The following is a 16814-nucleotide window of genomic DNA, read 5'->3' as shown; positions in this document are numbered from 1 at the left end:
TCTGAGGCCTCCCCAGCCATGTGGAACTCTAAGTCCAATTAAACCTCTTTTTCTTTCCAGTCTTGGATATGTCTTTATCAGCAGCATGAAAATGGACTAATACAGCAGGGAACCCCTGCAGCATCTGGCCAGGCCACCACATCCGGGACAGAGTTTGGAGGGCGGATGGCTGTTCTAGGCATTCGCGTGTGAAGCTTTTAACCCAAGGGCTCTGCAAATGGCTTCTTGATTGGCTGTGATTTCTTCTGAAAACATTTATGATCTTTTGAAGTATTCATAAGTGTAAAGGGGTCTGGGGCGGGAACTCCCCTTTGGCGGTGGTTAGCTGTTTCTGTGACTGAAGTTAGAATTTGGCAAGATAGCCATGGTGGGTGGAGCTGAAGGTCAGAGGTGAAATTCCTCTTATTCTGTAATGAGCATTAATGAAGTGATGGGGCCTGCATTACTGGAGGAAATAGCAGGCTTGGAGGCAGGGCCTCGGCCAGCAGAGGTTGAGTGACAGGTACTGTGTGCAAGCAGGTGATAGGAGCATGAGTCTCCTCCCTGGAACGAGGTGCGAGGTCATTTGTCATATTCACTTTCTCAGGAGCTAATAGGCAGCTTGTGGAAATCATGAAGCAAATAAGTCTATTTTAAAAAGCATGTGAAAATCTCCTGCTTGCTGGCCTTTCTATAAAGAGATTACGTGCCAGGAGGATAACTTTAGGCAAAAACATCACAAAACAGCCTGGTTTCCACAGAGGGAAAGTGGTGCTGATGCAGCGTCGATGGCAGAGGGGGAAGGATAGGAACACCTGAATGCCCCTCACGGCCACCCTGGCCTGCTACCTGCAGCCCGTGTCCCCACCCGCTCTGCAGGGAGAGCCAGGTGGCTCCCTCGGGATGGCGGCAGTGGACCGGGCAGCGAGGGTGGAGGAAGGGTATGGATACAGGTTTCTGTGGCAGGAGGACAGGAAAGATGAAAAAGCTTCAGCAACTTGTTCCCAGGCCGGAAACGCCACCTGTCATGTGTTGAATTGTGTCCCCTGCCAAGTTCGTATGTCGAAGTCCTAACCCCAGTATCTCAGGATGTGGCCTTATTTGGAAATGAGGTTTGCAGATGTCATTGGTTGAGATGAGGTCACACTGGAGGATGGTGGGCCCTGGCCCCCTGTGCCTGGTGTCTGTGTGAGAAGATGGCCCCATGGAGAGACATGCAGGTGGGAACCACAGGACAATGAAGGAGCCAAAGGCCTCAGCGAGCCCCAGATGCTCGGGAGGCCTGAACAGATTCTCCCTCATGGCCTTAGAAGGACTCGCCCTGCAGATAGCTTGATCTTGGACTTGCAGCCTCCAGAACTGCAGGGCAATGTGTTTCTGTGTCGGCCACCCAGGCCGCGGCCATTTTCTTAGAGTGGCCACAGGACTGACCCACCGCCCGCAGAGAGTGGTCTCTGTGTCCAAGACAGAGCTGCTCTCCCGGGTCTCCTGCACTGGCTGGGAGGTTGGGGCCAAGCATGGGCTGCCCAGGGTGCGAGAAGGGCCAGGAGAAGTGGCAGAAGTGGCTGACCCTTCTGGCTGGGGTCCCTCCCATCCCCAGGAGACAGGAGGAACAGTGTGGTCCCGGAGGGGCGAGCTCCCTGGAGGGAAGTTTCATCCCCTGAGCTGACGGGGTCAGTGATGTCACCTGCTGCCCCTCCTTTCCAGACCCGCTAGTCCTCCCTGGCCATTGCATGTGCCCCGAGGGTCCTGCACAAGCCAACAGTGCCCATGAGCCAGCCGGAGACGGAGCCGCCATGACACACACTCCCACCCTACGGATCTGCCTGGTGTGCAGGTGGTGGGGCTGTCCCCTTGACGGACAGGTCTTGGGCCTCCGTGCCTGTGGGGACCCTGTGAGAGGCGCCTCTTTCAGGGGAGGTGTGTGGCTCCCACATCGGCTTTCTCATTGAGTCTGAGGCTGGGGCCAGGCCACCCAAATTCCCACAGGGCGCGCATCTCATCCCTTAAGCCCTCTGTGGTCTAATGGGGGTCCTAGCCTATCTTTCCTGCCCCCACGATTCTCCTCCCATCTCCACCTTCCCATCAAGCGCCCAACTCCTGTCCTTCCAGCCAGGTCTTTGCCTGCACCCACAAATCCATCTTTCACCCCAGCCCACGACACACCCCAACCAGAGGCTCATCCTCCTCAGAGCATCACAGCGCCCTGTCCTTCCCTCCTTGAGCCCTTCTCACATGTTGCTGACTCTGCCTAAAGATGTCTGAGTTCTTCCGCTGAACAGGAGCACCTTTAGGGCAGCAACAGTGCCCAGCTGTCTTTGTGTCAACCCCAGCTTTCTGCCCACTGAACGCTTCACAGGAGAGGGGCATTTCTGGATTTGGAATTAATCCCGAGACAGGACCCACTATTGTCCCCAGTACCTGCTCCTCCAGTCCCCTGGGAGCTATGCCGAGGGGGAGAGTGGAAGGGATTTTTACTCTGAGAAGATCTCCTCCCTCTCGCTCTGTTTATTTTGTGATTTAAAAATAGTTTGTCTGTTGAGAGCCCGTTTGTTGCTGTGACCCTTCTGCTATTTAAACAGAGCCCCTGCCTCATCCCCCAACACCCTCAGTTTTCCAGGCAGAACATTCCACACGGTTGCAACCTCCCCCGCCCAGCGAGGCTTTCGCACTCACTCCCCTCCGACACACCTGCAGGCAGCTTCTTTTTCACAGTGAGGACCTGGAACTCAGCGCAGGCTCTGTGTGAGGCCAGAGGAAGGGACACGAAGCGCGCTGAGCTGTCGCTCTCCTTCCCTTCCGGACCTCACACTTCTGCTGGTGCCGTGAGCTTTTTCTTGGCAGCACCTTCTCATTACGGATTCAGATGAAGCCTGAATCAGCTGCAACCCCTGAGCATTCTCTTCCAGAGATGGGTGTTGCTCCTGAGCCGTGAGCACACATAAGCCTGGGCAGCTGTTGCTTTTTTCTTTTAAGCACAAAGTAGAGTATTTCATAGAGAAAACTTGTAGGGCTTCAGCTTTACAATGACAAAAAAACTTAGCGTAACAAAACAGTCCAATGGTTATTGCAGAGCAGAACTGTCCTGAATTAAAGGGAATCCTTCCCTTAAGGCTGATGCTATTCCAGAGTGCGGACGAACCACGTGTTGCTTATCCAGTCATCTGTCAGGGAACTCTCGGGCTGCCTCCCCCTTTTGGCGATTATGAAGAATGCTGCTGCCAACAAGGATGTACAAATACCCCTTTGAGTCCCTGCTTTTTGTTCCTTTGGGTATAAATCAAGAAGTGGGGTTGCTGGACCATCTGGTAATTGTGTGCTTAATTTTTTGAAGAGCCACTGGTGTTTTCCATAGCAGCTGCCCCATTTCATCATCATCTTAATTCTTCATTTATACCTCGATCACACCATCATTCTGCTGGAATATTATAATTAAGCAATTCATGCAAACATTTTTAAGATGTGAGGTCTTTATGTCACCCATTTTGATTTAATTGCTAACAAATTAATTTTTATAAATATTAATAGCCCAGCCAAAAGTAATTATTTATAAACCTGGAGTGCATGTTGATTTATACATTATTCTTCCTAACCAGTTCTAATTCTAATATTTTAGTAAGACATGTTTCCAATTTTCTTTACCCCCAAACTAATTTTATAGCCCGTTTTTATATGTTAAGGTTTATTTACTATAAAATGTGATTTATCTTGATCACAATAAACATATCATAATCACTGTGCTGTTATTACTTTCTAAACTTGATTCCGTGTATAATTTTGAGATGCTTGCTTCTCAGGACTTCCTTCAAGTTGTTATCTGTAATCCCAAGGGTTCTAAGGTCAAATCCATAGAAATTAAAACAGTAGGACAGATTTCTGCTTCTAGCCAAGGTGAAGTAAGAGGGACTTTATTTATTCTCTTGCATGAAATAAAATATCAGACAAAATATGTGAAAAAAATGACTTTCAAAACATTTAACATCAGGCAACAAAGGATAGGGACACCTGAGAGATGGGAAATCAATGAATCAAGCCACATAATTGTCTTAGGTTATGGCCTGGAGAGAATTTACAAGCCGTGCTCCAGGAGGAGCCCAGTGGTCTCTCTGAATTGAGGAGATGGGGCTGAGAGCCTGAGAAGCCCAAGGTGCTAACCTGTGTGGGGCAGGTTCTGTGGAGGAGAGAGCTTTGGAAGAGAGAGAGCTCACATGCCCTGGAGATCCACAGTGGGTCCCCCTTAAAACCCATTTATGCCTAGTGTTCCATTATTGGAATGCTAAACATGTGGGACTTATTTATATCCTACTCCTCAAGGTCATCGCCAAGGTCTGATTGCAAAAATTCAAAGCATTGCAACCTCAGGCATAGATGGGTTAAGTCTTTCACTAATCAGCATATGCATGAGAAGGCAGGTTTAGAGAAACTATGATCTGAAAAGTTTGGAGAACAACAACAACAACAAAAGTATGTGGTGCTCCTACAGAGCCGGAAACAGTTTCTATTACCAGCAGCCAAAGTGGGAAAAAGAAAAATCAAAGTTCACAGGGAATCAGAGGGAGTCCTCAGAAGGGGTATGTCTCCAAAGTGGGATAAAATTAGCCTCCAACTAAACATTGATCTGGTCCCGTCTCACAAAGCTCAAACATCAGACCCAAATGGAGCAATCTGCTTCCAAATAACTTACCTATGTGTCATAAAAAAATAACATTTACAGAAACACACAAGGTGAAATGTACAATGGGTGGCATCCAATCAAAAATGACCAAGCAGGTAAAGAAGCAGGAAAACATGACCCATAATAAGGAGAAAAATCAACCAATCAAAACCAGATTAGAAATAACACAGGCTGCCAGGCATGGTGGCTCATGCCTGTAATCCCAGCACTTTGGGATGCCGAGGCAGGTGGATCACTTGAGGTCAGGAGTTCAAGACCAGCCTGGCCAAATGGTGAAACCCTGTCTCTACTAAAATACAAAAATTAGCCGGTGTGGTGGTGCGTGCCTACAATCCCAGCTACTTGGGAGGCTGAGTCAGGAGAAACGCTTGAACCTGGGAGGTGGAAGTTGCAGTGAGTGAGATTGCACCACTGCACTCCAGCCTGGGCAACGGAGTGAGACTCTGTCTCAAAGAAAAAAAGAAAGAAAGAAGAAAGGAAGAAAGAAAGAGAAAGAAAGAAAGAAAGAAAGAGAGAGAGAGAGAGAAAGAAAGAAAGAAAAGGGAAGAGAAGGGAAGAGAGAGAGAAAGAAAGAAGAAAGAAAGAAAGAGAGGGAGGGAGGGAAAGAGAAAGAAGAAAGAAAGAGAGAAAGAAAGAGAAAGAAAGCAAAGAAAGAAAGAAAGAACGAAGAAAGAAAGAAAAATTATGTAATGACTAGACAAGGACATGAGAGGCTATGAGAACTGTGTTCCATATATTCAAGAAGCTAAAGGAAAGATTGAATATGCTAAGCAGAGACATGGAGGACATAGAAGGGATAAAAATTGAACTTCTAGATGTAAAAACCACAATGTCTGAGATGAAGATTGCACTGGATGGGACGAAGAGCAGATTAGCCATTGTGGAAAGGAAGATTTGGGAAACCTGAAGATACAGCATGAGACACAGAAAGACAAAGGATTCAAAATAGACACAGGGCATCACTGGGCTGTGGGGAACCCTCATGGAGCCTAATAAACATGTAACTAGAGACCCTCAGAAAGAGGACTCAGAAAGGCAGATAGAAAAAAGGTGAGAAGAAATCGTGGCCAAACTTTTTCCAAATTCGATGAAAACTCCAAACCCATAGATGTAAGAAATTCCGTGGGTTGCAAGCATAAGGAACATGAAGAAAACTAAAAATTGCTTAAAACTAGAGAAAAGAGGAAATCTTCAACTCAGCCAGAGAGAAGACACAGGAGATGCAGAGGGGGAAACAAAAGAATGCCAGTATGCTTCTCATCAGGAAAAATGCAAGCCAGAAACACTCATAGAGAGGAGCAATCAATGAGCACCTAAGTAATAGACAAGAACTCACTGAAACAGGGGAGTAATCAATGTGCACTTATGTAATAGACAACAGGAGTGATCAATATGCAACTGTGTAATAGACAAGAGGAGTGATCAATGTGCACCTATGAAATAGACAAGAACTCACTGACACAGAGGAGCAATCAACACACACTTATGTAATACACAAGAACTCACTAAAATACGGGAGTAATCAATGTGCACCTGTGTAACACACAAGAACTCACTGAAACAGAGGAGTAATCAATGTGTACCTGTCTAATAGACAAGAACTCACTGAAACAGAGGAGTAATCACTGTGTACCTGTGTAATAGACAAGAACTCACTGAAACAGAGGAGTAATCACTGTGTACCTGTGTAATAGACAAGAACTCACTGAAACAGAGGAGTAATCACTGTGTACCTGTGTAATAGACAAGAACTCACTGAAACAGAGGCGCAATCAATGTGTACCTACGTAATAGACAAGAACTCACTGAAACAGAGGAGCAATCAATGTGTACCTGTGTAACAGACAAGAACTCACTGAAACAGAGGAGCAATCACTGTGTACCTGTGTAATAGACAAGAACTCACTGAAACAGAGGAGTAATCACTGTGTACCTGTGTAATAGACAAGAACTCACTGAAACAGAGGCGCAATCACTGTGTACCTGTGTAATAGACGAGAACTCACTGTAACAGACGAGTAATCAATGTGTACCTGTGTAATAGACAAGAACTCACTGAAACAGAGGCGCAATCAATGTGTACCTGTGTAACAGACAAGAACTCACTGAAACAGAGGAGTAATCAATGTGCACCTGTGTAATAGACAAGAACTCACTCCAACAGAGGAGTAATCAATGTGTACCTGTGTAACAGACAAGAACTCACTGAAACAGAGGAGCAATCAACGTGTACCTGTGTAATAGATAAGAACTCACTGAAACAGAGGAGCAATCAATGTGCACCTGTGTAATAGACAACAACTCACTGAAACAGAGCAGCACTCAATGTGTACCTGTGTAATACACAACAACTCACTGAAATAGGGGAGTAATCAATGTGCACCTGTGTAATAGACAAGAACTCACTGAAACAGAGGAGTAATCACTGTGTACCTGTGTAATAGACAAGAACTCACTGAAACAGAGGAGCAATCACTGTCTACCTTTGTAATAGACAAGAACTCACTGAAACAGATGAGTAATCACTGTGTACCTGTGTAATAGACAAGAACTCACTGAAACAGAAGAGTAATCGATGTGTACCTGTGTAATAGACAAGAACTCACTGAAACAGAGGAGTAATCGATGTGTACCTGTGTAATAGACAAGAACTCACTGAAACAGAGGAGCAATCAATGTGCACCTGTGTAATAAACAAGAACTCACTGAAACAGAGGAGTATTCAATGTGTACCTGTGTAATAGACAAGAACTCACTGAAACAGAGGCACAATCAATGTTCACCTGTGTAATAGACAAGAACTCAGTGAGACAGAGGAGCAGTCAATGTGTACATATGTCATAGACAAGAACGGGTGAAGACAATCACCATAGAATTCCATTCCCAGGAAAAGTATCTCTCAAAAACAGAAGTCAAATGAAGATTTCTGTCGACATATAAAAAGGGAAAGAATTTATCACCAGGAGATCTGTACTCCAAAGCCTGTTATGCGCAGTCTTTCAGTAGGAAGGAAAATAATACCAGATGGAAACATGGATCTGCAACAAGGAATGAGAGCCCTGAAAATGGTCACCAGGTGGGTACATATAGATACTTCTTAGGTTATTTTGATGCCTTTAAATTAGAAATACCACACTGTCCTGTGAGTTTATAGCATATGTAGAAGTACAATGCAAGCCAAGTGTGCAAAGTCATGGAGGGAGAAATGGAAGTCTACTGGTGTGAGGTTCTTACACTCTATGTGAAGGGTGTAACTCCACTTAAAGGTGGAGTGTGGTAAAACCATGTCTACCATAAACCCTAAAATCATCCAAAAATCACACAGCATAGACGAATAGCAAATAAGCCAAGAAGGCAGTAAGATAGAACCATTTCAACACAGAGGAGAGAATCAGGCACAGTTCCTTGGTAGTAGAGGTGATGGGGCATGTGGCAATTCTCATCTGATTGTTTCTATCTTCCTAGGAACTAGGAAGCCAGGTCACTAATGGCATCCATCTGTCCATTCAGCACATAAGGACTTACTGCTTTCTATGCTGGGCCAGGTGCCCACCCCAAACCTGAGGAACCAGCAGTGCACAAACTAGACAAAAGTCATTGCCCTGCTAGGTTCACATTCTAGGGGATAAATAGGCAGAGGACTAGACAAGAAGATGGGGCCAACTACGGTGAAAGTGAATAGGGCAGGAAAGAGGCAGGAGTGCTGGAGCGGTGCCTCATTCCCAAAGCCTGGGGCCCTGGGCAGGGGGAGGTGGTCAGGACAAAGGGTTAGGGGACAAAGGGTGGGGATGAGGCGGTGGCCCTGGCTGGGGACCCATTGAGCTCTGCCCCCTCCTCCTTTCTGCCTATTGTGCTGTAGAGGCTAGACATGGGAGGCTTGTCCCAAATCCATGGAGCTTCCACATGGTGTCTGGGCTTCTGGGAGGAGAAGATCTAGGGTGGGGGTGGGGAGCCGTGGGGAGGTCTGAGAAGGCAGAAGTGGTCCCGTGAGGTCACTTTCAGGCCCGTCCGTCACCCCAGATGGACAGGAGGGAAGGAGCAGCCTCAGGGCCCACTTGACTGGGGCAGGGAGGACACACAGAGAGGGACGGACACATGTCATGCATGTTTCTCCAACACGTGCATCTCTGACTGGACCAGGTGAGGGGTGAGGCAGTGGCTTTGAAAGGCAAGGGAGGCCATCAAGGCAGGGGTGATGAGGGGCTGTGGAATCGAGGCTGGGGAGGGAGGGAGCACAAACAGGTGACCCCGGGGAATGGAGGTGAGACCCCAAGGCTGGGGTCATAGCACCAGAGAGTAAGTGGGAAAGAGTAGGTGAGGGCGGCCACACTTGGGGTGTTTGCAACAGAGACCTTGCAGGGGCCACTGTCACTGGGAATGACCAGGTCAGCTAATGGGGGTGAGGCAGGATCACTGAGAAAAGGGAGACTGCGATCAGAAGAGCCCAGGTCACGAGCAGGCACATCAACCATGATACTGAAACTGAAGAATTGAGAGGAAGCATCATCATGGAAGGGAAGGTAGCTGCTGGAGGGAGAGCAGGGTAATCAGGAAGGGCAAGGGGGAGGGGAGGACGATGATCTGGAAGCCGCAGGAAGGACACCTGCCATATGTCCAGGCCCAGGGTATGGGAGTGAGGGAAAGAAAACAGCCACCACCGGAGAGGGCTGCAGGACCTCTACCAGGAAGGGGAAGCAAGACAGCAAGGAGCGCTTCAGACCACAGGGCCAGACAAGTGCTCCAGAAGGTGAAGGTGAGAGTGTGCCCTGGAGTCCACTGGCCCTGGGCTTTTTGAGGGTGCAATAGAATTGGACCACACCATCTCCAAGTCAGGTTGTGGTGCTGAGGCTGTGAGCATCAAGGGATGGGGATCAGGGCTCTTGCTAGGGTGCCCAGAACCCTGGAGCCCTCTCACTCCTGCTAAGAAGGCGTGGAGACTGGGGGGGGAGCTCTGTAGCCAGGTGCACGCAAAGGTACTCTCTAAGCGGTGGTACTTGGTGTCATCTCAGCACAGGGCGAAGCTGTATAGACATATCTCATGGGCATGTGGGCCACAGAGGAGCCCCTCAGGAGCTGACGCTCTGAGCAAGGAGCACCGCAGTGGCTAACAGGCAAGTGCGTGCGCCACATGCCAGCAACGGCTGGGCGTGAGGACCATCATCATCAACCCCACAGCAATCCCGAGAAGTCAGGTATGATGAGAAACGCAGGCTCAGGACATTTGGACAACCTGCTCAAGCTCACCCAGAGAGTGTCCCTCCCTCCTTCACTTGGCTCTGCCCTCTCTGCATCCTCATGAGCACTGTGAAGTTGAGCTGGTCATTCAGACACCCATGCCTGGTTAGCTTTGCCCACAAGCCAAGTACTACATTACACAAATATATAATAGGAAAATCCCCTGAAATAGAAAAATGCTAAGCCCCTGTGTGTATGTCCCCTGCACAGTGAAGGTAAAACCAACTTCTAGTCAGGCAGAAGTTTATTTAAAAGTACGCCCTGGTAGGCTGGTTGCAATGGCTCTCACCTGTAATCCCAGCACTTTGGGAGGCTGAAGTGGGAGGAAACCCTGAGCCCAGGAGTTTGAGACAAGCCTGGGCAACACAGTGAGACCCCCATCTCTGCAAAAATTTTTTTTTCGAATTAGCTGGGCATAGCAGCAAGCACCTGTAGTCCCAGCTACTTGGGAGGCTGAGGCAGGAGGATCCCTCGAGCCAGGGAGGTCAAGGTTGCAGTGAGCTATGATCGCACCACTGCACTGCAGCCTGGGTGACAGAGTGAGACTGTCTCAAAAAACAAGCAAACAAAAAACCCAAAAGTACACCTTGACTTGGGAATATAATGAGAACTTGAATTTCTCAATCTTTTCAACTTCTGTAAAATAGTTTTATTATCTATCATAAGACTGCTATGAGGATGTGCAAATCAAAAAGCACCAGTGAAATTATGTTTCAAATATTAAAGAACTATACAAATATGAAGAAAAGATATTGCACTGTGAGTTTATGGAAGTGAGGGCAAGAGAGGAAAGGAAAAGGAAAATGAAGAGGAGTAAATGCACCAAGGCAGAATTGTGCCTCTCAAAAACCTCACTGATTTATCTCCACCATCTGCTGCCGGGGATGTGGGGCCCACGAGATGCTCAGAGCACTCAACAGAGGACGGGGGTCTGACAGCTGCTGTTCTGCAGCCGAATCTCATTTCATCAAAGTTTATGTAATCCCATTTTATCCAGGGGAGGCGGGTGGTCAGATCTGCATGATGAAGGGATTTGGAGGAGAAACGGAATAAGATTTAACCAAACAGGGCAAAGATAAATGGCTTCGTTTAAATGGATCTCCATGGTGGCTTAAGAAGTCAACTGAGCCCCTGTCTGAGCAGCACTGGCACAAAGGATTTAAAGCACTAATTTAATCTCCATGCACACTGACCACAAACAATGATTAGCTAATATCTAGCTAGAAAGAGATATCGCTTCCCATTTTTGTTGTTCTGAAAACCATTTATTCACAAAAATCATTAGGTACAGGCAGCTGGGAACTTAGAAAGTGGAATGACTTGGCTGGGCGCAATGGCTCATGCCTGTAACCCCAGCACTTTGGGAGGGTGAGGAGGGTAGATTGCTTGAGCCCAGGAGTTGGAGAACAGCCTGGGCAACATAGCAAGAATCCATCTCTACAAAATAAAAGAAATAAAAAATAAAAAAAATAGTGGCGGCACATGCCTGTAATCCCAGCACTTTGGGAGGCTGAGGCAGGAGGATCCCTTGAGTTCAGGAGCTCAAGGAAGCACTGAGCTATGATCATGCCACTGCAGTCCATCCTGGAGCAACAAAGCGAGACCCTGTCTCAAAGAAAAAAGAAATAAAATATTGACTTATAGTACAAACTGCCTCAACTTATCCAAACGTTCTTCCATGCTTCTCTAGCTACTATTCTCTATTCACCAACCTCAACAGCCAATTAACTCATGTACAGTATTGCTTTTCTTAAAATAAGTTCTTATCTCATTGCTCTTAAGAGGTCCCCCAAACCTCTGAATCTTTGCTTTCTTTTTCTTTCTCTCTCCTTTTTAAATCAAAGTCATTTAATGAACTGATTATGACTCTAAGTGGCTCCATATACTAATTGCCAAATAATTTCTCTTGTAATTGCACAGCTCAAAGTTTTCAATGATGTCTTAGCACATTTTGGGTGGATGAGTAGAATTTATATTAGAAGATTTGGGCATTAAGACTAATGGAAATACCAAGAAGAAAACCTCAAGACCATTTACCCTGATATAATACTGTTAATCTTGTGTTCTAATTCTAAAGACTTTTTATATCTCAATTTCTAAAGGCCATTTAAAAGGCAAAGATAAATACTAGATATTTTTCATAGCCCTCAAATTAATGACATAATTATTTCTTAATAATTTATAAAATATGTTGCTCTGTGCTTTCATTTTATACAAGTTATTGGTACAGCGCTTCATGGGATATTATTTTGAAATAAGCTTTAAATTGTTTTCCATTGTTGAAATGGCTAAGTTTCCACATTTCCATTCATTTACATGACTTTGGCTGGCATTTAAGAACAAGTATCTGCACCATGATCAATCCTGAAATACTGATGCACTCACTGCTTGTATTTCAGATGTCATTCTTCTGACACTTGCAGCCATTTTTATACATTCATCTGTGCATGATCTGGGATCAGAGCCTGAGATGAGGATGTCACCGAGTAAGGTGATGTAAGCAGGTGCCAGGCAGAGAGTGTTGATTTTAGAGAGTCATTTTCACAGGGGAAGGTCGGGGCCAGCATCTCAGCTCCTGGGAAGCAGAACTGGTACTGAGCATGCTCTTCCTCTCTCTGACGCTGGCTGCTCGCCCTCTGCACCCTGTGAGGGAGAGAGCACCAAGCTTCTGTTGGTGTTGACTGCCATCTGCTAAGGGACCCGCGGGAGCTGTCCTCTTCAGCACTACTCTCTAGCGGCAAGACTTGGACACTCAGATCTGAGCATGCAACTGGACTTTCAGAAAAGATGTGCTGACAAGGTTTGCAGGCCAGGACCACCTGATCCACCGCAGAAGGGTAGTCAGAGGAAACGCTGTCCCCTGATATGGCCACTCTGTGGCATTCGGATCCACCTGCCCCTAGAAATCATAATCAAATAGGGAGCTTGCTCAAAATCATAGATGGGATCATCCATAATTTGTACTGACTTAAAAGTGAAGAGCCAAAACTGGTACCTTGCCACTTTAATGGCCCCCAAGAGCACTGTTCTGACCATAAATCCAACGTCTACCTTGTTGGAGAGACTGTCGCTGTGGTTTGGCCATCAGCAGGATTGTGTCTCGCAGAGTCTCCCATGAAATCAAGGGACACACAGGCTTAAACAGTTTAGGGCTGTCCAGCAGCAGGGGGTTCGCTGTTACACTGAGGCATTCACATTTAACTAGGGCACATGTTTCTTATTTTATCGACGGTGGCCCACAATGAAGGGAAGCAGACAGAAAGTTCGGAGTTTGAATCAACCTTCCACTGAAAGACTTCCTGAGATCATTCTAATCCCCTTCTTCAGGTTTAATCTCCAGTTAAAACTCACAGAAGGAACTTCATGAAGATGTTTACAGACTTAAGTGTTTGATTAGGGAAAGAGGGAAAGGAGGAAGAATAATTTACCATTCTTAATACAACGGAATGATAGTAGATACAATTTGCTGTAGACCAGAAAACAGTGTGAAAGTAACAAACTGTCAGAACCATATAAGGGGTTGTTAGACTTTTTCGTTATTCTGTTCCCCTTGGCAACAAGGTCAGAGCTATGACAAAACAATAGATTGGGTGCCTACTATATACAATACCTAGGAACACCCAGTTCTTATCCACATGCAGCCCACAGCCTGTTGCGGAAGCACAAGAAATGCTATAATGCAGAATAAAGTGTAGATCCCAACAAGTTCTCTGAATCATTACCTATATTTAATGGTGGTTTGGATCCTAAGATAAGGTCTCTTTGATTCTCCATCCACATCCCCACTGCCCTCTCTCCTACAACTTGGTCTTAATGTCAAAAAATAAAACTGAAAAATTCTTACTATTTCAAGAAGTATCAATGTAGTTCCCTTCAACCACATAGGTTACTAATACTCTGGGGCCCCTTAAACACTTACACTGTTTTATAACTGATGGTAAGGTTTCTCAAATCCTTTTCCCATGCTATGCTCAGAATAACCCTATAAACGACAATACTCACTTCACAGTTTAGGAGATGTAGGCCTCCTCTATGAAGTTGCCTCACGCCTTACCCAGAGTCACATGGTGGTTGGCAGGTGCACACATACACATTCACACACACATACACATACACACCCACCCCCCACACACACTCATATGTGCACACACACACTCTCACACTCATCCCATGTACACACTCACACTCACATGCAAACACACACATGCACACTCACACGCAAACACACACATGCACACTCACACACACACTCTCACTCACAATGTACAGCTTTGGCCCCAGTCTTTTCTCAACACAACCTGGGTGATTCTTTCAAAACTTGAGTCTGATCATGTCACTTCTCTGTTAAAAACCACCTGATGCAAAAGTAAAAACCAAGGTCATTCCAAGCACCTTCCAGGTCCTAACTGCTGGTTCCCCAGGACCCTCTGAGGTCATCGCCTGCCACTCCTGGACTCATTCCCTTTGGTGCAGCCACATGGGCCTTCTTCCTGGTCCCAAATCCCCCAGCATCACTCTGGGCTCAGAGCCCTTCACCTCCTATTCTTTCTGAAATGCCTCCCTCTCACACTCTTCAAGCCTTTGCCCAATGACTGCATGGTCCTCCTCGTAATCCTATGGAAAGGACCCCCTGAAAAAACTTGATACCTCTTGTTTTTACCCACAGTATATGTCACCTAATAAAATATGGAACTTACTTATTTTGTTTTCTGTTTATCTACCCTGTCTATAATATAAACTCTATGAGGACAGAGATTTGTTTTGTGTACACACACACACACACACCCCCCTAGAATCTTCAACAGTGAAACTTGGCAATAATGTGCATCAATAAACATTTGTTGAGTGAATGAATGAATGAAAGGACACAATTTGTAAAGAAAAGAAAGACCATGTTCTATACAAAGTTGCATATCCACCTGTAATCCCAGCACTTTGGGATCACTTGAGGCCAGGACTTCGAGACCAGCCCAGGCAACATAGTGAGACCCCATATGTACAACATTTTTTTTTTTTTTTTTTGAGACGGAGTCTCGCTCTGTCGCCCAGGCTGGAGTGCAGTGGCGCGATCTTGGCTCACCGCAAGCTCCGCCTCCCGGGTTCACGCCATTCTCCTGCCTCAGCCTCCTGAGTAGCTGGGACTACAGGCGCCCGCTACCACGCCCGGCTAATTTTTTGTAAAAAATTTTTTTAAAAATTATCCGGACATAGTGGCATATGCCTGTGGTCCCAGCTACTCGGAAAGCCTAAGGCAGGAGGATTTCTTGGGCCGAGGAGTTTGAGGTTGCAGTGAACCATGTTCATGCCAGTGCACTCTAGCCTTGGTGACAGAGTGAGACCCTATCTCAAAATAAATAATAAAAAAGTTATATATTTTTCTATTTTTATTTATTACCACATCAGGAAAATTTTCTCATGTCATTCAATATTATTCAAAAATAAAATTTTCAACGTCTGTAATCTGTTTCATCATCCAGATGTACATGATCTATTTAACCATTTTCCTATATTGGGGATTTTGGATTGCTTCACACTTATAAGTGACTCTGCAAACAATATCCACGAGTCTATTTCCTATGTATTTGTTGAGTGTTTAATATGTGCTAAGCTTAGTATTGAGGCTACAAGGAGAAGCTGGAATCCAGTCCTTATTATGAAGCTCTCAGGCAGGTAGGAAAAAGAGGAAAGGCCGGGTGCGGTGGCTCATGCCTGTAATCCCAGCACTTTGAGAGGTTAAGGCAGGTGGATCACTTGAGACCAGGAGTTTGAGACCAGCCTGGCCAATATGGTAAAACTCCACCCCTACTAAAAATACAAAAATTAGCTGGGCATGGTGGCAGGCACCTGTAATCTCAGCTACTCGGGAGGCTGAGGCAGGAGAATTGCTGGAACCTGGGAGGCAAAGGTTGCAGTGAGCCAAGATCATGCCACTGCACTCCAGCCTGGGTGACAGCAGCAAGACTCCATCTCAAAAAAAGAAAGAAAAAGAGAGAGTGAGAGAGAGAGAAAAGGAAGGAAGGAAGGAAGGAAGGAAGGAAGGAAGGAAGGAAGGAAGAAAGAAAGAAAGAAAGAAAGAAAGAAAGAAAGAAAGAAAGAAAGAAAGAGAAAGAAAGAAAGGAAGGAAGGAAGGAAGAAAGAAAAAGAAAGAAAGGATGTGGAGAAATAAGAACACTTTTACACTGTTGGTGGGACTGTAAACTAGTTCAACCATTGTGGAAGTCAGTGTGGCGATTCCTCAGGGATCTAGAACTAGAAATGCCATTTGACCCAGCCATCCCATTACTGGGTATATACCCAAAGGATTATAAATCATGCTGCTATAAAGACACATGCACACGAATGTTCATTGCGGCACTATTCACAATAGCAAAGACTTGGAACCAACCCAAATGTCCAACAATGATAGACTGGATTAAGAAAATGTGGCACATATACACCATGGAATACTATGCAGCCATAAAAATGATGAGATCATGTCCTTTGTAGGGACATGGATGAAGCTGGAAACCATCATTCTCAGCAAACTATCGCAAGGATAAAAAACCAAACACCACATGTTCTCACTCATAGGTGGGAATTGAACAATGAGAACACATGGACACAGGAAGGGGAACATCACACACCAGGGACTGTTGTGGGGTGGGGGGGGGAGGGATAGCATTAGGAGATATACCTAATGCTAAATGACGAGTTAATGGGTGCAGCACACCAACATGGCACATGTATACATATGTAACAAACCTGCACGTTGTGCACATGTACCCTAAAACTTAAAGTATAATAATATTAAAATTTTAAAAAGAGAAAAAAAAAGAAAGAAAGAAAGAGAAGACGGGGGGAAGAAAGGAAGGAAAGAAGAAAGAAAGGAAGAAAGACAATTTAAGTGTGGTCAATAGAAAAGAATGATGTTAGAAATGGTTATTAA

The 16814-nt window shown here is 45.7% G+C and overlaps 1 annotated feature.

Moving 5' to 3' along the window:
- Positions 2202–2702: an enhancer, noted in NCBI's record as "H3K4me1 hESC enhancer chr2:239680495-239680995 (GRCh37/hg19 assembly coordinates)". NCBI's record gives its function as "activates a minimal SCP1, AML or CMV promoter by ChIP-STARR-seq in primed H9 embryonic stem cells {active_cell/tissue: H9 hESC(primed)}" and the evidence as "EXISTENCE:reporter gene assay evidence [ECO:0000049][PMID:30033119]".

This window comes from Homo sapiens, chromosome 2 (genome assembly GCF_000001405.40).
Source record: "Homo sapiens chromosome 2, GRCh38.p14 Primary Assembly".
NCBI classification, from domain to species: Eukaryota; Metazoa; Chordata; class Mammalia; order Primates; family Hominidae; genus Homo; species Homo sapiens.
This window is presented reverse-complemented; position numbering and strand designations above follow the sequence as displayed.